We start from the raw sequence: 22397 nt of genomic DNA on the forward strand, positions 1-22397 counted from the left end.
TCATAGTTTTTCTTTGAGATGCATGCACTGCCCTCCACTGCCCAGTTTCCCCTCTTTGTAATGAGGCATCAGAGTGAGGGTGAAGCTGGGACGACTTCCCTCAGCCACAACCCCAGAAGATTCTCAGGCTCTTGCTGCCTCATCCAAATATCATGTGACCTACCACTCTATGGCTGAGAGACTAAATGAACTATGTGACCTTGGAGAAGTCATCTAACTTTGCTGGGCTTCCTCTGTAAAGTGGGGATGACCCTGTTTGTCTTACAGGCTGCTGCAAGGACTCAATGAGAGCCAGCTCCTGGCCCAGAGCAGAAAATGAAACACTGGCTTCCTTGAGTCCCCCCTGCTCCCCTCCTCCTAGTTATTAGCAAATGTTCCTCCCTCATGGTTGCAATGAGGTTCACTTGCAGTCAGCTCTCAACACTGCACAGGTGAGCACCCCTGCCCTAAGCAATGGGCACACAGGCCTGGACAGGGCATATAGCCAGACCTGGCCTAAAGAGGTTGAGCAACACACTAGGGGTCACACAGCCAACTGAGACAAAGCCCAGTGAGAATCTCCTCCTTGTTTTCCCAGCTCCAGTGGTGTGACCCTGAGCAAGCCCCTTTCTTCTCTGGGCCTCAGTTTCCCCATGTGGGAAGTGAAGGGATTGGATTAGTGCTCTCTGGAGTCCCTTCAGGCTCTGATGTGCCAGGCCCTTCAGAATCCAGGAGAACATTCTGACAATATTGGATTTATGCATTTCAGTTTCATCTTATTAGCATTTAAATTACTCTGTATTGTTACATTTCAATGACTCAAGAATAGGTTAGGGGTGCCTTAATAAAAAGTCTTTGCCAGAAGGGAGGTTGGGAGAGGAAGGAGCAATATTTTTTTGTTTGTGGAGTTAATTTAACAAAGAAGGAATCTATCTTTCGAAGGAAGAATAAAAAAATAAACAAAACAAATCCCCAAACCAACAGCTTTTCAAATCCTAACTGAAGGATGGTAGCTGGGACAGTCGTACATGAATTATGTGCTAAAAATAACTTCTGGATGCCAAATTCTTCTGTTTTAAGACATGCTGAATTTAAGTGCCACCTTAATATGTATTTTTAAGGTCACTTTTCCATTGAATCATCAATGACTGAGGTGGGGCACAAGTCTGGTCTGAAGATCCCCAGTGATGGAAGCCTAGCTCTGCCAGTCACTAGTTATGTGACTTGGGCAGGGCTCTTAATCCTCTGTGCCTTGGTTGACCCTCCCCAACATGGAGACAACCCTACAGCCTACCTCACAGGGTTTTGTAAGGATTGAGATAGAGCTAGCACAGTTTCTGGCAACGAGGAAACACTTGTTAAATGGTGACTCTCCTATGAAAATTTAACTTACTCCCTGCCTCCAATCGCTCCCAGACCAGCATGTACCCCATAGTGCCATATTTCAAAGGGAACTCAGCTCTGACTTTCCCATGCCCACCAGGCTCCTTGTCACCTCTCAGGTGGCTGGGGAGGCCTCCAGCTTGTTGGCACAGCAAACAAGGCTAGTTTCCCTTCTGTTCTGGTCTTGATGAACTACTTATAGTTCCCATGAGGTAGGATGTTTGCTTTCCTCTCCTGGTTGCAAATTCTGGCCTTTCTGTAGGGGGCCCACTGCCCCAGTGATGGGGAACCCTCTTCCTCCATGCTGAACCCAAGGAAACAGGTGAACTCAGCCTGCAGTTGGGGGTGGAGGGCCAACAGCTCCTCCCTTGTCCTCACCCAGAGAGCCTCAGCCATTCTCTTAGATATCCTCTCTGGGGGAGGCAATTTCCTCTGCACGTGTGTGTAAGGAGGGAGAGCCTGATGGTGAGTGTGGATGTAAGCAGGCATGCCAATGTGAGTGTGCTAGATCAGTGTGTCTGTAGGGTGAGTGTGTGAGTGTAGGGTAAATGTGGGTGTGCAGGGTGGGTGTGGGTGTGTTAGACCAGTGTGAGTGTGCATGGCTAGTGTGACTGTGCAGGTTAAGTGTGGGTGTGTAGGGTGTATGGGCGTACAAGGCATATGTGGGTGCAGGGTTAGTGTGAGTATGCAGGGCTAGTATAGATATGCAAGATGAGTGTGGGTGTGCAGGGTCAGTGGGAGTGCATTATGGTGGTTTTCTTAGTATGAGTGGGACAGGGTCTGGGGGCACACCTGTGTCAGAAGAAGTGTGCAAATGCTGGTCTTAGAGTACGCCTGTAAGTGACCGTGCTTTGTGTGTGGGAAAGAGGGTCTCTATGATGTATCAGTGGACATGTGGTTGGTGTGAGTGACCCCAAAGGACAAGGTGTGCCACACAGGTCTACTGGAGCATGTCAGCATGAGTGTGCGTGTGTGTGTGTGAGAGAGAGAGAGAGCAAGCCCAAGATATCTGTGCCACACCTGTCTCTGGGTGTGCAAGCCCCATGATGTGTGAGTGTCTGTGTATGTGCTCAAAGCTGAAGAAGACAATCTCACAAACTCTCACAGTTGAGAAGAGAGAACAGGGAAAGAGGAAGGGAACTGAAAATGAATACCTCAGAAGCAAATTTAGTGCTATTTTTAGACAACTCCTATTCTGTTAACCAGAAAAGGAAAATCTAAAAAAAAATCCCAAAGAAACCGCCTTGCATCAGCCTTGAAGGCACAGGTGGCAGACGTAGGTCTAAGGGGCAGGCAGTGAGAGGGATCCAGGGCTTCCTGTGGAGCTTCTCACCCTCACGCCTGGCCTGAGGAAGGGGAGGTCCAGCCCTTACCTTCCTACCAGGGTCAACTCACTCCACTGTCCTCTGTTCTCAGAGGAGTTGCCAATGTTAGATGGCAGGAAAAACCTTCCATTTCTGCTCATCCATCCATCCAACCATCCATCCGTCTATCCATCCGTTCGTCCATCCTTCCATCTGTCTGCTTGACCATTAGCTGTCTGTCCATCTGTCAATCCATCAATCTCTCCATCCATCTGTTCATCCACCTACCCAATAAAACTAATGAGCTGCATCACAGGCCCTGCCCCGGGCACTGGGACTATGAGGAGAGCAAGAGAGACACTCAGATCCTTTTTCCTGCTGTTTAACATCTGCTCACTCTGCCACACAGAGCCCCCCAGTAACCTCAACCCCATGGTCAGGATGTGCAGGCTGGGTCAAGTGATTTCTGCACAACTTTTGGTTCGGGTTTTCCCTGGGAATCAGATCCACTCAGTTTTGATCTTGGTGTGATGACTATGATGAACAGCAGGAATCAGATCCACTCAGTTTTGATCTTGGTGTGATGACTATGATGAACAGCAGGAATCAGATCCACTCAGTTTTGATCTTGGTGTGATGACTATGATGAACAGCAGGAATCAGATCCACTCAGTTTTGATCTTGGTGTGATGACTATGATGAACAGCAGGAATCAGATCCACTCAGTTTTGATCTTGGTGTGATGACTATGATGAACAGCAGGAATCAGATCCACTCAGTTTTGATCTTGGTGTGATGACTATGATGAACAGCAATTGCTTAGCAAGTGCCTTCCATGGGCTGTGTGGTGTTGCTGTCCCCACTTTATAGGCAAGGAAGCTGGGGCTCAGAGAGGCCACAATCGCCACGGCCATATGGGTAGGACTTGGCATAGTTTCAGTATGTCTTCTCTGTCCAAAGCCTCTGCCTTTCCTTTGCATCCCCTTGTCCTTCAACAACTTGCACTATGGCCCTTCCTGCCTCAGTTTCCTCTTCTGTAAAATAAGGGTGCAATCTGGACAGAAGCTCAGTGTTGAAGGGTTATTTTAGCCCCACCCTCAAGGATCCTTGCTTCTTGGGTCATGCACAGTTCCCAGGGCTTCCCTGCTGCTGCCTTGTGTCTAGCAGAAATGGACATCCCAGTTGCAGGTCAAGTCGTGCTTGGCTGGAGGCCGAAGGAAGGAGAAATGCCCTAGAATCAGGAAGGCATGACCTGACCGGAATTCACCTTCTATCTGTGACATCCACTGCCCACCCTTGGGCTTCTGACTGCGGTGCCTGCCTTCCAAAATTTGTACCTTTTATGTGTTCCATGTTTAGAAATAATTTCCTTAAAAAATATTTGTGGAGTTTCTAATGAGGCTAAAACAGTAAAGTCACTAGCAGATCCAGACAAGATAGCCTGTTTGAGGCAGAAAAGTGTTGGGGAAGCTTCACTTTGGGCTGCAAGAGAGGGAACATGCCGTGGGAATGCTGGGGATGGTGGCCCTGCCTGGGATGGGCCAGCGGCTCTGGACATTGTACTCTGGTTTCAGCCAAATGCCTCAGCCACATCCCACCATCCTCTCTTGCACTGCCCAACTCTTTCCCTACTGCTGCACTGAAATTCTTGAGGTCTTCTTTGCAGCACTGGCTGCCTCCAGCCTCCAGGTCCTAACTGGCCTAACTGGCCAACATGACACTGTCCTCTTCTGCCCTCATCCCCCTCATTCTCTCCCACTGTCTGCTCCGTCCCTGTGGATTACAAGAAGAGGCTTGGAAGAAGAACAAAAAATGATAACAGCAACACCAACATCATTCCTGCTAGGTGCTCAGCACTGCTTTATGCACTTAGCTTGTTTAATCCTTCACAACGATGCTTTGCACTGGTACTCCAGCCCCGCCATTTATACAGGAGAAGACAGACTGAGTGTGCAGTGATTGGTGTAAGGTCTTATGGTTAAGGGGTGGCAGGGCCAGCCCTCTCTCATACACAGGCACTCTTAACAGCAACCTAGGCTCACACCCTTCTGTCCAGCAGACCAACTTCTTTGCCGTTTTTCCTTTCTGGTTTCTACAGTGAGGCACAGGGTTCTTCTGCGGTCAGTATTCTGACCACACACAACAGGTCACTGGCTGGTTGGTGAGGCCTCAGGCTTCACCTCTGACCATGGAGGGCTGGGGCCTAGGGAGCTGTCTCTGGGAATGAAGTGCTGATGGATGGACGGAGGTCAGTGCTGGGGAGGGATTGGATAGCTGAGGTCAGGGAACCTGATAACTACAGGCCCCCTCTCTCCCCAGCAGGTTGACTAACCTAGGCTGGGAGTGAGAACTGCCCACGTGGTCCTGGTGCTGAAAGACAGTACCCCTGGGGAGGACAAAGCTGGCAGTGGGGAACTGGCTTCCCTGGGAGCTGTCCTCAAGGGCACAGTGCTGATTAGGGAGGTGGAGGTGGGTGTTAAGGACAACATGTGAAGGAGCTGTCCACACACTGAGGTGCTGACACAGAGCAGGATGTTATTAAGTGCCCCTAGGAACTCTCCAGGACAGCAATGCTGACCAATGAAGAGTGGGGTTGGGAAAGCCAAGAGAAAGGTGCAACCCCCTTCCAACACCTAGGGTGCTGGGTGTAGGCGCTGGGGAAGGCACTGGGCCTTTTCCATGAGTTCTGTGAGCAAGCATGGGGAGCTGACCCCATATTTTAGTGCTGATGCTCAAAGCCTGTTTTTTAGGCTTTTAGGGGGCAGGACTGAGCTAACAAAATGATACTGTATAAAAGGTGACTCAGGGTCACTGAAGTGCATGCACTGTGGACCCACTTCAGTCCATCAGTGCCATCTGCCACTGATGCCAGAAATTCCACCATTAGTGATTCATTCTTTTGTACTGTGCGTGGTCCTTTCCTTCTGATTTCTGCCAGAACTGGGAGCATATTTAAGTGGTAGCATCTCAGTCTGACTGAGCTTAGTAAATTATTTCCTCCATGGGGTGAGGGAGGAAAAACTCACCCACAGAGGTGCCAGGGGATGTGTCTAAGTTGGGATATTACTTTTGGATAGTTGAGTGAGTCCTTTGGGGTCCAGATCAGAGAAACAGGAAGCTAAGGCTTGGAGGAAAGTCTTTCTATGTGTTCCAAGAATGCGGATGCTAGGAAATCTAGCTATATTGAGAAAGAGGCATTAAAACAGCAGAAAGTAGGACTCTTGGATTCAAAGGAGTGAGGAAATGAGAATGATGCAGGTACCAGCAGGGATTTGCGTATGTGCATGGGTGGAAGTGTCTTTTAGCTTCTATTTCTCACTACTGTGGCCAGACACTGTTCTACTTCTTCTAGACTAAAGCAGAGGTGCCCCTGGTTTGGTGACTGTGCACTCATCTTCCACACTTGAGCCCTGGTTATCTCCACCCAGAGTCTCCTTGGCAGAAAGCCAGAGATCTCTGTGAGGCTACTGACTTGGCCTCAGATCTGAAGGAGGAAAATCAAAAGGCCAGGAAGCCAGAGGAGCAGCTGAGAGCACGTGGGGATAAGCAGAGGTTTGCACTTGGGTCTGCACCCTCCCTCATGGTAAAGGTGTTCTCTCCTTCCTCTCCTGATAAAGTCTTCTCTGGGTGCGGCTCAAGGACCCCAGAACAGGGCTTCTCAAAGTGGTTCCCTGAGGGCTACCTATGTTGGCATCACTTGAGGGCTGGTTAAAACACAGGTCTGCAGCCCCCACCCTGCAGAGATGAATGAGCGGATGGTGGGGGCTGTGAATTTTAAATGAGCAGAACTCCTGTCCTCGTGCTTTGGGGCTCCTGTTCCTCCATCTCTAGGCTTCCTTCCTCTTGTAGCCCACACTTTCCTGGTTTTGGGTTCTAAAGTCCTGCCTTGCTTTTGTGACTCAGTCTGTGGCTCAAAATAATCTCCAACTCCCTGGCCCTAACCATCCAAATGCCACCTCCTGGTAGGCTAGGCCCTTGGGTGGCTTCTGGTGAGGACCCCCACTGGCAAACTCCAGGGCCCTTTTCAGTCTTCACGTCCCTGCCCACGGCTGATGGCACCTCCCTTCCTTCTTCCCACTCTCCTGTGCTTCTCTGACCATGTCTGCCCAGGCCTCCATGGCTTCTCTGTTTTGGGGTAACTGTAGGTTTCCCCATGGTCCTGCCCTCTTAATGCCTTGCCTCTCCCTGGGCAATGACACCCATCTGGCATCAACTTTCACCCTAACATGGGTGGTTCCCAGACCGACCTTTCCACCACGGCCTTTCTCCCAAGCTCCAGAACCGACCTTCTTGTGGTTGCCAAATGTCCCCTCCAAAGGTCCTCCAGGCCCTCAGGCTCTCCTAAGTCTCCTCATTCTTTTGTGACCCTTGTGTTACTAAGGGCATCCACAGCACTATCTGGGCCACTCTTGACTCTAATCCTTCCCTCATGTCCAGTCCGGTGACCAGACCCAGGAAGCATCAGCATAAAGGCTCAGCCTAACTCCTCTTCCTCCCCTCCCCAGGCTCCCAACTCTGGTTTAGGTTCATCCACAGCCCCTCAGCCCCCTGGCTCTCTAGCCTTACATCCTCCTTCAGTGACCACAGAGTGAAGCTGACAGTGACTGCCATTTAGAGTGGCTTCTGCATGTCAGAGGCTGTGTGAGGCTCTGCTCATACCTTATCCCTCAACAACCCCATGAGGTAGGTATTATTATGCATATTTTACAGATGAGGAGACTGAGGCTCAGAGAGGTAAAATAACATTACGCTCAAGCTCACACAGCTAATGAGGAGTGGCAGATCTGGGAGTAGAACTGGGCTTTTCTGACTCTGAAGCTGCCACATTATGCTGCCTTTTGGATTTGAGCATGGCTGTCTCTGGATTAAAAATTTTCACTGGCTACCAGTGCCTATTTAAGAAAACATATTCGTGACTACAGCTTCCCACATCCCACCTGATTGGCTCTGAGCTGGCCTCTCTGGGGTCTGAGCTGGCCTCCTTGGGGTCCGAGTTGGCCTCTCTGGGGTCTTGTCTAAGTTAACACCCAGTGTTGGGTCCCACTGAGGGACCTTATGGTCCTTGCCATTTTCTGAACAACTAATGCAAGTTCCTGCCTTCCAACTTTTGCATATATGTTCCTTGGATCCAGAATGGTCTACCACCTGCTTTTCCATTAATCCAAACCTCACTCTCCAAGATCTAGTCCTCATGCCAACTTCTCTGTGAAGTTCTCTCCAATTCCTCTGCTCCAAATTCCAACTCTCTTCCCTCTGCCAGCCCGTCGCGTGTGGCTCACTCCTTAAATCCATACTTTGACCCTCCACCCACTGCCTTGGGGTGGGTTTTGCCAGCTTGCCTCCCCAACTAGGCCCTGAGCTCCCCAGGAACAGGGCCTCTCCAGTCCCCAGCACAGAACAGGCCTCCACCAGGTCTGGTTCCATGACCGAGAAAGCAGTTGGACTATGGAATGACATGGGAAGCGAGGAATATTAGGGTGACACCTGCCTTTCAAAGCAGAAACTGGCCAACCAGATGGTAGGAATAACTTATGCCAAATGCATTCTTGCTGAGGGCCGGACACGTGCCACACTTTATAGGCATCAAACCAGCAAATCCACATATGAACCCCAGGAAGGAGCTTCTATTGGTATCCCCTTTCACAGATGAGCAAATGGAGGCTTTGCAAGGTTAAAGAGATTGCGCGGGGTCACGTAATTGTTGGATTGGAGCCCAGGCAGGCTGCTTTCAGAGCCCCTGCTCTGGATCACAGTGTTACACAGTGGCCCCTCAGGCAGTGGAACACACTGCAGCATGTGGGTCAGGAGTGGGGAGATGTCCTAGTCCTCTGGGCTACTCTGGCCAGGCCGGTGTCTTCTGCCACACCCAGTGCTGGGTCCCACTGAGGATCCTTATGGTCCAGCCTTTGTACTTTTCTCCTTTGCCTATTCTCCATTCGTCCCTGAAACCTGGAGGTCAGGGCCAGGACACTCTGATCTGCCAGGAGGCAGCCCTTGGGCCCAGTCCCAGGGACCAGGTGGGGTGTGGGGGGGCACATGCCGCTGCCTACCTCAAACTCATCCTCTGCGTCCGCTCTCCTGGCCCCAGAGCTGCCCCACTGGCAGCCCCAAGCCCCAGACCCCAGACCCCAGACCCTGGAACCCCATGCCCTGTGCGCATGCTGATTAGTGACCATCCTGGCTGAAGTGTGACCATGGGGGGGCCTGACTAGCTCTGTAGCTCTTCCCCTGACTTGGCATGTCTGTCCCTGGCCACTGCGGAGACGAACAGAATCCACCCGGCACCTTGAACAGATGGTGCCACTTCTAAAAATAATGCCGCACCACACTCCCCAGCGCAGCCGAGTCCTCGCGACAGAAGGGGGTGCGGGTGGGGGTGGGGGCTGCTAGCTGTGCTCACCAGCCATCTGCGCGGGGACAGATGCGAATGCAGCCTCCCAGGGGACACAGGCCCAGGGGACCCTAGCCTTGATGAAGCTGCACAGAGCCAAGGGTTTGATGCTGAGGCTCCAAGCCCCCCAAATAAAAGCAAGCCAGGACACGGCAGGGTATAGCTTGGCTCCCTCCATTCCCACAGTCTATGGCCCCCACAGCAGCCCTAGCTCCACACCATAGCATGACCAAGATTGCTATCTGGAATGCCCTCTCCTCTCTTCTCTGCCTGTTACCACCTTATCCATCTCAGGGTCCCTAGATCTGCAACCCCCAGTGCAGTCTCCTCCTGGGAACTTCCTCCATCCCCAGAAGCCTCTACCTTCCATGGAAACCACTTAAGTCGTTCTCTGGCCTTAGTTGTCACTTCTCTGAAATGGAGACAATCACAGCCCCTCCCTCCCAGGGTTGTTGGGAGGAAAATGTGAGTTAATGCAGGGCACAGGGCTCAGCCCAGAGCCTAGCCAGCGAGAGAAACTAGAAACTGGGATGACAGTGATTTCTAGATGGGGAAATGGAGGCCCTCAGGTGGAAGGCTCTGGTGCAAGGCCATGGAGCAGGTGCTGGCAGAGCTGGGCTCAGGCCCAAGGCCAGTCAGAGGACTCACCTTCCTAAGCCTGCCACCCACCTCTACCCCAGGGATGGATGCTCCAGGAATGTGTCCCACCTTCATCCTTGGGCCAAATTTTCCCTGAGTGCCAGGCCCTTCTCCAATCTTGGGCTGCTCTGGGGAGGCCTAAGGGATACCTTGAAGATACCCTGTCCTCATGACTTGCCAAGAACCAGCCCCAAGCCTCCTCTCCCCTGAGCCCTGGTGTGACTCCTTCAGCTTCTCAAGTAGGTTCAAGTCCTGCCCAGATCCCTCAGCCAGAACGTTTAAGAGTTCAAGTGCCAAAGTGCTTTCAAGGCTCCAGGAGACCCCAAACCTCAGACTCTGGAGGTATTCATGTCCAGCAGCCTCTCCTTGTCCCCAGCAATCAGCAATGGCCCTGCCAAGCTCTGCTCCCTTCTGCTTTCTCAGCCTTGCAGTTGCCTTCTTTCTCTGAAGCCCTGGGTCTGATGACAGGCAACTTGGCAGAGAAAGAGTGGGAGGTGCTGTTTGCTTCCCTCTTTCCCAGTGGGGCACAGCCCCAGCTCCTCCAGTACCATCCTTCTGCATTTCAAAATTCTCCTGAATCCCAGGCCTCATGTCATGCTGCCTCTAGGATCTGTCCTCTGTGAGACATGATCTAGGAGAGTTTAGGTTTTGGGTTTAAGATGTGGTTGGAACCTAGGTTCAAATCTTCAAGTCAAAGGATCTTTCTCCAGCCCACCATACTTACTCCCTGCCCCTGTAGATATTTTTGTCCTGAGACCTCCTGCTTTGTAACATTCAAATCAGGTCTTCACTACTTCTGACTCCTTGTTATAAGGGACTGACAAGGCCGGAGCTGCCACCTCTGTTTCTTTCTCCAGGTTTGGGCCTGCTACGAAATGGGTGCTAGGTTGGGGGGCGTGTGCAGGTGTGTGCATCTCTAGTGGCTGACCCAGATCCTGATGGCACCAGGCCTGCACTGAGTTGGTCCCTAACCACCAGGTCCTTTACTGTGATGGTACCGCAGGAAGAAGAGACACTTCTAGAACAGAGGCCACCAAAAGGGAACAGTGTTTACAAAGCTCAGAAGAGGCCCTGACTCCCCAAACCTGCTTGAATCCAGAGATCAGGAGGGACCTCAAAGGTCAACATCCCTGTGATGCCTAAGCCCTTTACAGCATCTCTGTTAAGCCCTGCTTGTGTTTGCATGCCCCCCTTGACAGGGAGTTCACTCTCTTTGTCCAGGATAGTCTGTGTCAATGCTGGTGGTCACAAAGCTTTTTAGGTTGAGCTGAGATTTTCTTCATGCTAACAATTTTTGTTGTTGTATATTTACTGAGTGTTTTATGACCTACTATCAGTGCAGCACAGAATAGTCCTGCTCCCTCTTGTCCACTGAAGTTCATGTCTACGTGTGCATGCATAGATGCGTGTCTGTGCAGGCCAGGATGTGTGTGGTTGTGTATAAGCTAGCCTGCACACGTCTGAGTGGGCTGGGTGTTGAGGTGTGCAGAAAGCATGTGCATTTCGGAAATAAGACTCTGTCTAGACTATGTGTGTGTGGTGGGGTGTGAGGAAGCAATTAGGCCGAACAGTTTTACTACCTGGAGTGGGGGTCTTAGTGTCTCAGTTTGGAAGGTGGATGGGTAGCAAAAAAGGGGGCACCCATGAAGACTCCAGAAGAGAATAAAAGGCTAACCTATAGCAGAAACTTCATCACTGCCTCTGGAGCTGTCTGCAGGGTGGCCCCTGAACCCCCAAACCATGCCAACAGATGACTTTAGCTTGCAGGAAAATCTGCCATTCAGGTTTACCCTGAACCCAATGACAGAACAACAAAATGGAATTATATGAGTGTTCATTAGATGCTTTTCAGTTTTAAGCTCAAAAGGATCCGTTGACCATTTCCATTTCACAAGTAAGAAAACTAAGGCTAGAGATATCAGGGGCCTGCATTGCATCCCAGAGATAGCGACATCTCCAGGGGTGACCGTGCAGCTCACAATCATGAGCAGAGCATGCGGCCCCACAGCTGGTCACACCCACCATGGGTGGGTAGGCATTGGGCAAGCCTGGTAATGAAGTCTGCCATTAGCTGCTCCTGCTCCACCTTCTTCTCTTTTTGGCCTCAGTTTCCCCACCTGAAAACTAAAGAGGTTGGGCTAGATGGCTTCTAAGAGACTTCTACATGCTGACTTGTGATAAGTCTTTGACACTGGATTGGAGCCCAGGGGAGGGGCCTCTCTGGTCATGACACCCTCAACCTCTACTTTGATGGGGTTGTCTGTGTCCTTGGATCAGACAGAGTAATATTCTGGCCACTGAAACATCTACATGGGGAAATTTTCTTGTTTTAATAATAAAAAACCAACTCAGAGCTGCCTTGTGGACCACTGGTTATGCCTTAGCACAGGCTATTCCCTGCCTTCTGCTTCTCTGCTTGGTGGACTCCTATTCACCCTTGAGAGCCCCGCTCCAGGGGCCCCTTCCTGAGTAAATCCTATGCTAACCCCACTCTCCGGGCAGTCAGCTGATCCCTCCATGGGGCTTGACCGCTCATGCCCTTTAGGGTCCAACCATTTTTGAGTTCCCAGCACACCTGGCAGACACAGTTGGCACATGGCAAAAGCTAGCTGAGTGGGCACGTGGAAAAGTGGCCACGGAAACTTGTGGCTGGACCCCAGAAACTGGGAAAGAACAAGATTTCCTGGGTCAGGACTCATCCCCTCCTTCCACGCTTATGTTTGAATAAAAAGGCAGAGGACATGCACTGGGCACCTGCTGTGTACCGAGCCCCAGCCTACAGGTAGGATACCGTTACTGAACCGGAGGAAACGAGGTAACATTTTTGGCGGGGAGATGGCCAATGTTGTAATGGCATTGGAGGAGCAGCGGCAGTCACAGAGATGAGCGTGAGAGCAGCAAAGTTTTATAACCACCCCCTGCTGCTCCTTGTCTCCACCTTTTCCCCAGGCAGTATCTCAATAATCCCGCTCTCCCCTGATCCCAGGAAGGTACCCTTATTTAAGCCGAGGTGCAGGGAGGTGGGATGACTGGCCAAGGTCACAGAGCCAGGGAATGGCCCGACCAGGATTTGCATTAGGCCCTGAGTCCCAAGGCTGTGCACATGACCTCGACACTCAATAGGCTCCTGGATCTGGAAGGAGCACTAATGGGGCTGCCCCTTGGTGGAGATGCCAGGGAAGTGGGAGGCGGGGTTCTGGGGGAGATGGAAAGACAGGGCCACCCTGCTCCCCTCCTCTCTGCCCAGTGTCCATGTGGGCTGTGGGACAGACAGGAGGATGCTTTCAGGGTACCCCCAGCTTCAGCATCCACTAAGGGAACTCCTGGTGGGGCTGACAGGTGCGAGGCCAGGGCCCTTAGTGGGGCACAGTACAGGGGCCATGGCTGGCCCAGCGGGCTGGGTGTGAGGGGTGGGAAGCAGATGGCAGCCCCTTCCTGTTTGGAAGAAGTCAAGGATGAAATTTTGGCACCATCAGCCTGGCCGCATCACCTGCTGTTAGGAACGGCCCTGGGCCAGAGGGCTGGCGGCTACCCAATGTTGATTTGCTGACGCATGGCAGGCCCCAGGGAGGAGCGGCCACCAGCCCAGCCCTCTCCTACAGCACTGTTATCTTGCTATAAATAATTACTGTTATTTGAGGGAGTTCATCATAGTGCAGCCTCCTTTGTCTCACCTGTAACCCTGGAAAGTGGGAGCAAGGTGCCCATTTTACAGATGAGGGGTCTGTGGCTCCAAGGGGACAAGTGACCTGCTTGATACAGGTCACTCAGACGGTGCTGGGACCAGGGTGAGGCCAGTGAGGCGCTGAAGGAGTGAAATGAAAGGCAGGTCTCGTCTTGGGTTCCTATCAGTGCCAAGTCCTGCTTCCTCTGCCATCTGTCTGCCTTGCCATTTAAGTCAGCCTGACGTACTCATGGGCCCACTTGCTCCACCCCACCCCAATCAAAGGGCAGAGACTGAAAACTGACAAAGAGATTTCAAACACACTTCGGTAGTTTTGTGGATGATGAAGCCGTTAAGAGAGCCTGAGGAATACCTGGAGCTATAAAAGGTGTTCAAAGCTAACGTCTCCACACGAGCTGAGTAATGAATTTCAGGGCAAATTGTTCATTTCTTATTTCCACTCATCTCGCAAACTTTTGCTGTGGATCGACTTCGATGTGTAATGCAGTGTGGATGGAGAGGAACCAGATACAGCCCTTGTCCTCAGAAAGCCTGGTACTGCTCCCTCCTAACTTGGCATGGGGCCTGCACATGATAACAACTGAATAAAATTAATGATAATAAGCTAACATTTATGGAGCATTCTCTATGTGCCAAGCCCTGCAAGAGGCACTTTTTACACGTCATCTCATCCGATCCACATCACATCCCTATGAGGCAGGTATTCTTATTATCTCTATTTTATAGAAAAGAAAACTAAGGCAAGTAACTTGCCCAAGGTCACTCAGAACACAGCGGAGCTGGGATGGATACTCAATACAGCATTTGTTAGGTGAAGGAATGAAAATACAAGAGGTCATGCAGGGAGGCTAGGTAAATATAAGGGTGATATGATTTGTTAAGCGTGGCTCAGGGCCCGTGCAAAGAGCCCTGGAAGCTCCAGAAGCCAGCGTCAGGCCCCCTGAGGGGGTCAGGGAATTCTCCATGCTTTTGGGCACACTTAGGCTGCAGACTTCCAGGAAGAGGGTGATGGTGACAGCAGCTGTATCAGATAGCAGTGCAAGGAGACTCCAGTTTCTCTCTCTGAGCCTGACCACGTGCTCCATCTACAAAAATATCCCAGGCCAGCAGCCCCTTTCACCCTGAGAAAGTGGGTTCCAAGAGAGGGTGGACTTGAGCAGGTATGAGAGGAGGGGCAGTCCTTCCTGGGCTAGCCAGGCAAAGATCTGCCCTAAGCCCTCTTGCTCCCTCCAGCCTTTGGGGAGAGGGCTGCTGATGGACACCCTGACACCCAAGCCTCCCAGCTCGCGCCTTGGTTGCCTGGCAACCATGCAGGATGTCACTCACACCAAGCTCAGATTTCAGGAGCCCAGACCCAGGTGAGGGTGTCAGTATATAATAATAGAACAGCGCAGCCCCCGTGGGGGCTGCTTAAGATAGGCAGATCTCAGCGCTGGGCAGGGCCTGAGTGGTCCTGTGGTCATTTTGCAGATGGGAAAACAGACCTGGGAGGGAAAAGGAATCACTTGAAGTGACCCAGGGAGTTATCAAGGAAGGCAGGGCTGTCTCTGACGAGGAGGTTGAAATAGAAATAGCAGTTCGGAAAGTGACAACAATGACAAGTATAGCTGCTACCTTCAGGACCCGGGGCTATGCACCTTCTGCCACTGTTGCCCATCTCACCCTCAAACAACACAGGTGTAGGTGTTGTTTTCATGCCCATTATATAGATGGGGAAACTGAGGCTCAGAGAGATTGAGCAACCTGCTTAAGATCACCTAGCTGGTGAATGGCAGAGGTCAGATCTGAACCCAGGCCAGTGTGATTCCAAAGTCTGTGAGCTTCACCCTGAGCCACACTGTCCCCAGGGACTAATGAGTTAAGTACAGGACTGAGGGACCTGCCTCCCAGCTGGTTGACTTTGATCTCCTCAGTAACACTGGGGCAGGGGGTGAGGGGTATGCTGGGCTCAAGAGGGTTAAATGGTGGTCCCAGGATGAGCTAAGCAATAGGTGAGGATGAAGGATTTCCTGTGTCTCTCTGACTTCAAGGTCTGGGCCTGACCCACTGTGCCAAGTTCACTGGCAGAGTCCTGGGGTTGTGCCCCTCTGCCAGGCCTCGGGGCATCTCTGCCTCAGCTTCCTCCAGCGTGGTGAGATTTCCAGGGGACAGGACCCCACTTCCCAGCCCCCAAGAGAGTCAGCAAGCCCCAGCACAGAGCAGTGACCTTTGATTCCAGGCCACTGGACCTGTCCCTCAGTTCCCCCACCCCCATGTCTCGTAACCTGAGACAGGGACATGCAGGTTGCTATGGCGACAGCACATCGGATACTGACCTGGGACCCACTGACAGCACGGGGGACAACAGGCCTTGCCTCAGAGCGATGGCTGGAGGGGTGGAGAACGGGGGGCCTGGGGGGCCCTGCGGCAGCCCTGGTTGTTCTCTGGGCCAGGCCAGGCACAAGCTGCTATTTATAATTCTGCTGAATGGGCCCAATAACCCGATCCGCAGTCCGACCTGCCCAGTCCAACTTGCCCGGGAAGCACAGCAGCCACACGCAGCAGGGAACCCGCTCAGAAGCCTCCTCCCTGCCCCCAGCACAGTGTCTCCAGCGCGCGGCTGTGAGGGTGCGGGTGAAGGCCAGGGTGCAGGAGACCCCCTCCCTGCCATTAGCCTCAGCACACACCCCTTCGGGCCAATCCCACCCTCTTCCCTGTGTTCCAGGCCACGGGAGTCTACAGCTTGGACTTTGGTTTTAAAAGGGGTTCAGGAAACCTGTGTGTGTGTGTGTGTGTGTGTGTGTGTGTGTGTTTGTGTGCGTGCACGTGTGCGTGCGTGTGCATGTGCAGATGTGTGTGTGTGTGTTCTAGGAAGCCTCTTACTGGAGGGAGTTGAGCAGAGGGAGGGTACGGGAGGAGGGGAAAGAGAAAGGAAAGACACAGTCAGGCAGAGAGGAACTTGAGAGGCTAGGAGTGGGAGGAGAGGGAGGGAGGAAAGGAGGCGGAAGAGGGAGAGGGGAGAGAAACAGAGACTGACTTCAAAAGAGAAATCGATATTACCATAAAAAATGATAGGCAAGGAAGGTGACGAATATGTTAATTAGTGTGATTTGATCATGCCACATTGTGTGTGTCTGTATACATCAAAGCATCATATTGTCCCCCATAAATGTATACAATTATGATTCATTAATTTAAAAAAATTAATAATAATTTTCTTTTAAAAAAATAGATACTAATCCCAGCACTTTGGGAGGCCGAGGCGGGCGGATAACGAGGTCAGGAGATCGAGACCATCCTGGCGAACACGGTGAAACCCCGTCTCTACTAAAAATACAAAAAAATTAGCCGGGTGTGGTGGCGGGCGCCTGTAGTCCCAGCTACTCGGGAGGCTGAGGCAGGAGAATGGCGTGAACCCGGGAGGCGGAACTTGGAGTGAGCCGAGATTGCGCCACTGCACTCCCGCCTGGGCCACAGAGCGAGACTCCGTCTCAAAAAAAAAAAAAAAAAAAAAGAGATACATCAAGACCTAAGAAGGGAGGGAGAGGGAGGGACGCAGAGACAGAGGAAGACACAGAGGAACTGAAGCCAAGACACAGAGACCGAAGCAGGAAGATGGGAGCCGGGAGGCCCGGAGGAAAGAGTGAGGGCAGTGGCCAAGCTCTGAGCCTGCCCTCTTGCCACCTGCTGGTCTTTGGTCAAGGCACTGGTTCAGAAGCCCAAATGCAAAGATGAGTTGGGTCTCAGGAGAGCCCAGTGACCCATGTGCCAGGGGAGAGAGGGCCTGTCTCTGTGGTGCCTGCACTGACTGCCCAGACCTCTTGCTGGGGGGACGCTGCGGGGCAGGGCAAGGACTGTTCCAAGGTCGCAGGAACCTGGCCTGAAATGGCATAGCTCCTGAGGCTTGCGGGGCTGTCCGCCCTCGGATTCGGGTTATTTTGAGAGCTGAGCAGCCAAAACACACCGCTCTTCTCTTGTTCACGGGCCAGTGGCTGCTGACTCAAAATATTCTCTCAAGGAAACTGTCTCCCCGAAATCCAATGTCACTTCTGGGAGGCCTCCCCTGATTCTCCCAGAATTAATTCTCTGCCTGGTTTCTACCTTCTGTACAGTGGATCCTGGGGAACTACAGACAGGTAAACATCTCCCACCAGACTGTGAGCAGGGGTTGGTTCAGGTTCCCCGGGTATCCCCAGCACCAAGTGCAATGTCAGACACACATAAGTTGCTTAAGTGACAACCCTACAGTAGCAGTGTCGGCTAATGTTTATTTCACAAGAACTTGATGTGCACTGCCTCATTTATCATCTCAGTAGCCCCAGTTGTAGGATCTTCAGCAGGTCCCATTTTACAAAGGAGGAAACTGAGGACCCATGTTGGTAAGTTGTTGAACCAAGATCTGATCTAAGCCTGTCTGATTTCAGAGCCCATTTACATGACCACCAGGCATACAGCCTTCCCTGTACTAATGATCATCTCCATGTCTGTGTCTCTGCTCAGGAACCTTCTGTGGCTCCCCAGTGCCCCTAAGATTAAATCCAGACATCTGGCCTGATGCTGGTTCCTTTCCTCTATTTGCATTGTCCTTTCAGGTCTCACTCTCTCTTGCCCAATCTCCTACTTCTAGGTCCCCTTCTCTTATTCTCTGATTTGTTCACTCCACAGTCATTTAATGAGCACCTACTGTATGCCAAGCATACTGTACTTGCCTCTGCACTTGCTTCTGTTAGGGAAGACAGACTGAAAAGTGCTATGAAGAGCAGGCCAGGTGTGGCGGCTCATGCCTGTAATCCCAGCACTTTGGGAGGCGGAGGCAGGTGGATCACTTGAGGCCAGGAGTTTGAGACCAGCCTGGCCAACATGGTGAAACCCTGTCTCTATTAAAAATACAAAAATCAGCTGTGTGCGGCGGTGTACACCTGTAATCCCAGCTACTCAGGAGGCTGAGGCACGAGAATCACTTGAACCCAGGAGGCAAGTTGGCAGTGAGCCAAGATTGCACCACTGCACTCCAGCCTGGGTGACAGAATGAGGCTCTGTCACACAAAAAAAGTGCTATGAAGAGAATAAGGCATTATGACTGAGACTGTCCAGGCATCTGTTTTGCCAGGGGGATGTGCAAAGAGCTGGGGCAGTATGTTCCAGGCAGAGTGAACGGCATAGGCAAAGACCCTGGAGGTGGGAAGGGGCAAGACATGCTTTTAGTAACTCAAAGAAGGCCACGTGGCTGGGGCTTGTGATGAGAGAGAATCAGGCAAAGTGAGTTCAGAGAAGCATAAGGGCCAGATCACACCAGGCTTTGAAGCCGCTGGGAACTTGGATTTTATTCCAGGTAGTGAGAGATGCCTCTAAAGAATTTTAGGTGATAGATTAACGTACTTTTCCCTTTTTCACGGATCTGTCATGCATTGGAGAATGGACTGGCAGGGTGAGATTGAGAGCAGGGAGGAAGTGAGGTGGCTACTGTGTCATCCAGGTGGGTAGGGACAGGTCTTGCCTGCAGGGGCAGCAGTGGTGTTGGAGAGGTGTGGGTGGGTGGGTTAGGAAGTGGAACCAGTAGGCTGATAACCTGAGCTATGCCATTAGGAAGAGGGCGAGTGGATGGTGGCACCATTTACTGCAGTGGGTCGGGGAAGGGAGCAGGCTTTTGGGGGTGGGTGGAGAAGGTTGGGTAGGCATGATGAAGAATCCTGTTTTGGACTTGTTAACTTTGAGATGCTTGTGAGACGTCCAAGTAGAGATGCCAAGTGGGCAGTTGGATGCATGAGTTGGGAGCTCAGAAGAGAGGCCCTGACTACAGATATAAATATGGAAATCAGCAGCTTAAAGATGGTATTTAAAGCCATGGGATGGGATGAGATCATCGAGGGACATAGCTCAGCCAGAGAAGGGAAAAGACTCAGAGCCCAGCCCCAGCCATTAGAGGTCAGGTAGAGGAGGAGACCGGAGCCACGCAGCCACCCTGGCAGACCTGACTAGGTGCCTTGCTTGGCTCCCACTGCCCTCAGAACAAGGTTCAAAATCCTTAGCCTGACACACACGCCTGCCTGCTTCTTCAGGCTCATATCCTTCCACCCGTTCCTTGTAACCTTCCCTCCTGCCATAATAAGCACCTTGTAAGGTTCCACACTTCCAGGCTTTTGCCCAGGCAGTTCCCCTGCCATAAATGCCCTCCCATGGGCAAAGGCAAATGCTTTTCTAAAGTGCTGGCCAGTGAAGCTTTCTCTAACCTCCTGGGCAGACTTTCCATGGCCTTCTGGACACACTACACTATCACTGTCTTTCTGGGAGCCCCTTGTGGGGAGCGGGCTGACCTGTCTCTGTGTCCCTGGCCCAGCATGTCCATGGCTCATGGTGAACCCTCATGCATTCAGTGTCCCCATGTCACCACCCCACGTCTGAAACGTATCATCACAGCTTGGGCTGAGAATGTCCGAATTAACCACTTCCAGTTTCAGCCTGGGCTTCTGCACTGAACAGACTCAGAGGAAGGACGGTTAAGAGAGGGAGGAGGTGAGCGGGCGTCAGCACGAGGGGTGGCCACACTGAACATTTGCTGAGCCTCCCACCTGCCACTGCAGTAGGAGGAGGAAAAAATGAAGAGACAAAAGCAAGAAAAAGAGCAATCAAGTTCATCTTTCTTCACTACTGCTCTGCGCTCATGACAAGAGACTTTATTGTGTAGGAAATCAAGTAGCACATGGGGGAGGTGGGGGACTTGTCCTGCAGGGGTCATGTCAGAGCTCCCCCACCCTCTGGGCTACTATTGCTCTGTCTTGTTTAATGTTACCACCTGCAGGCTCCTGCAGAATGCCTCTCTGGCTGGGGAACAGGTAAGGGGAGAGGGACAACTGGATGATTTATTGAGCACCTACTATGTGTTGGGCACCACACATTTGGTCATGGGCACGGATTGGGGTTAGGCAGATCTGTGCTCTGATTCCAGCTCTACTACTTGCCACATGGCCTTAGACAGGTCACTGCCTTGCTCTGGGACTCAGTTTCTTCATCTTTGTGATGAGGGATCACTACACATGCCTGCCTAGGCTTTTATAGGCCTAACCCTGTTAGAGGAGTTCTGCAGTTCCCATTTTATAGACAGGGAAACTGAGACTCAGAAAGAAAGGCTCAGAGGACAGAGCCAGGGTGGACAGAGCTGATGTCTAAGTGCGTTTCTGCTGCCAAAGCCAAAGCCCCCTTCCCCGTCTGCAATGCCTCATGCTGTCTCCTACTTGGCCCTGCAGTCGGTTGATTCTGAGCCTTGAGTTGGATGCTGGGGACTTGAAGGTGATTCAGACAAAAGCTCTGTCCTCCAGGGGCTGCTTCTCTGGTTAGGGGGTCAGGGTCTTCGACCACTACTTTATAACCCCATCCTCCCACTCAGATCAGCCAGGTGTAGGGAGATGGGGATTCCAGACTGCACAGGAGGAGAAGGTGAGTTTGAGAATTCCTGGTTTATAGGTCCAGTTACTCCTTTAGGGACCAGGCAGGAAGCATGAGTTACCCCGCTAAGCAAGTTTCTCTGTCTGCAAAATTCGCATAATCATATCACCCCCAAAAGATAACCAGCTGGTGAAACTGGGAAGCATTTGCAGGGCCTTGGCATTATGACAGGTTGCCCCAGATCAGGCCATCTTTAGCTGAAGCCGTGGAGAGCTTCAGAAGGGGCCATGAACCTACCAACATTCTTTGTAAGAGGTTGTGTTTTTCTGGGGAGGAAGCCTTTGGCTCTCACTAGCTTCTCAAAGGAATCCCTGAAGCCCTCACCCCACAAGGACTCAAAATCAAGGCCTAGTAGGACCAAGTCAACTCTCTGCTTTTCAATAAAGGCCGTGTAGAAATAGCACCAAGATGGCAGACCCAGAAAGCATGGGAACAACGGGTGCGTGGGGATGGTTAGAGAGAGCAAGGGTCAAGGCTGGGGCCCCATGCTTGGAGACCCCCAGTAAGGTAAAGCACTAGAGAATCACCCCTCACTGTGAGTCTCCACAGCTTTTCTGTGGCTGCATGGCACAGGATCCTGTAGTCAGTAACTCCCCTCCATGCCAGCTTGGCGGGAGGGAGAAAGGATGTGGATGGTGCTCTTTCCCAAGCAAACGCAAAGCTAATTATTCCAGACACCAAGTTCCTTTAACCATAATTGATCAGCCTCTAGTTTAGAGGAAATTAAATTTTTTCTGCCTCCTTCATTAGCCCTGAGGAAGGGGGTGAAGGTATGACAGAGCTGGGCAGAGAGCAGCTAATGCAGATGAGCCCTAAGCCTCGCCAGTGAGGAAGCAGATGGAGGGTCTATGCCACACCCTGGGGGTGCTGGGTCTTAGCAGAACAGGCACCTAGGGAAGTACTCAGAGGCTCATCTGCTTGGGCATCTGCAGCTAGAGCATTCTAGAAGCCACTCAAAGTCACTTAGTCTAGTCTGGTAGGTCATAAGAAGGTGACCTGAGGTAGGCTCCAAATGCAGATTTTGGCTTGAAATGTTAGCTGAAATAAGGAGCCTAATGTGTGGCTTCCTCCAGGCCAGGCCTCACCATGCAGCAGACACCAGTGTCCTGCCTGGCCTCTCCTGCTAGTTGTCCCCACACTTCAGCTTCAACAGATCTCAAGCCCAGTGTTTCAGCTTTCCCTCTTAAGATTGGTGCTTTTGTGTGTGTGTGTTTTCTCTGAAAAATCATTCCCTACTTCTAGATGGGGAAGATGCTCTTCTGCGTTCGCTCTGGAAGTTTCATAGCTGTAGCTTTTACAAGTAGGTCTATGAGCATTCTCAATTTAATTTTTTCATCTACGTTTCTCTTTTTTGTGGTTAAGTCTACATAACATGGGATTTACCATTCTAGCCATTTTTAAGTGCACAGTTCAGTGACATTAAGTGCATCCTCATTGTTGCACAACCATCTCCACAACCCATCTCAGAACGTTTTCCTCTTCCCAAACTGAAGTTCTGTCCCCATCCAACACCAACTCCCTTTTCCTTTCCCATCCACTGGCACATGCACCATTCCATTTTCTGTTTCTATGAGTTTGACTACTGTAGCGACCT

General features: G+C 51.6%; 1 protein-coding gene across 17 annotated transcripts in view, besides 3 other annotated features; it reads right to left on the bottom strand.

Annotated features, from left to right (window-relative positions):
• The window catches only part of ATP2B2 (ATPase plasma membrane Ca2+ transporting 2), a 384094-nt gene that overhangs the window by 131205 nt on the left and 230492 nt on the right, over window positions 1–22397 (bottom strand). The window contains exon 1 of one of the 17 annotated variants that reach the window (XM_017006482.3): window positions 15697–15806. The exons of the other annotated variants lie outside the window; for them this stretch is intronic. The gene's annotated coding sequence lies outside the window, so the exon portion shown is untranslated. Of the gene's footprint in view, window positions 1–15696; window positions 15807–22397 lie in introns of those variants that run through there. 17 annotated transcript variants of the gene reach the window in all.
• Window positions 4958–5252: a silencer, noted in NCBI's record as "tiled region #15222; HepG2 Repressive DNase unmatched - State 9:DNaseU, and K562 Repressive DNase unmatched - State 8:EnhW". NCBI's record gives its function as "represses a minimal TATA promoter and a strong SV40 promoter by Sharpr-MPRA in HepG2 and K562 cells {active_cell/tissue: HepG2 | K562}" and the evidence as "EXISTENCE:reporter gene assay evidence [ECO:0000049][PMID:27701403]".
• Window positions 15253–15867: an enhancer, noted in NCBI's record as "H3K27ac-H3K4me1 hESC enhancer chr3:10512164-10512778 (GRCh37/hg19 assembly coordinates)". NCBI's record gives its function as "activates a minimal SCP1, AML or CMV promoter by ChIP-STARR-seq in primed H9 embryonic stem cells {active_cell/tissue: H9 hESC(primed)}" and the evidence as "EXISTENCE:reporter gene assay evidence [ECO:0000049][PMID:30033119]".
• Window positions 15868–16480: an enhancer, noted in NCBI's record as "H3K27ac-H3K4me1 hESC enhancer chr3:10512779-10513391 (GRCh37/hg19 assembly coordinates)". NCBI's record gives its function as "activates a minimal SCP1, AML or CMV promoter by ChIP-STARR-seq in primed H9 embryonic stem cells {active_cell/tissue: H9 hESC(primed)}" and the evidence as "EXISTENCE:reporter gene assay evidence [ECO:0000049][PMID:30033119]".

The sequence above is a fragment of the Homo sapiens genome, chromosome 3 (assembly GCF_000001405.40).
Source record: "Homo sapiens chromosome 3, GRCh38.p14 Primary Assembly".
NCBI classification, from domain to species: domain Eukaryota; kingdom Metazoa; phylum Chordata; class Mammalia; order Primates; family Hominidae; genus Homo; species Homo sapiens.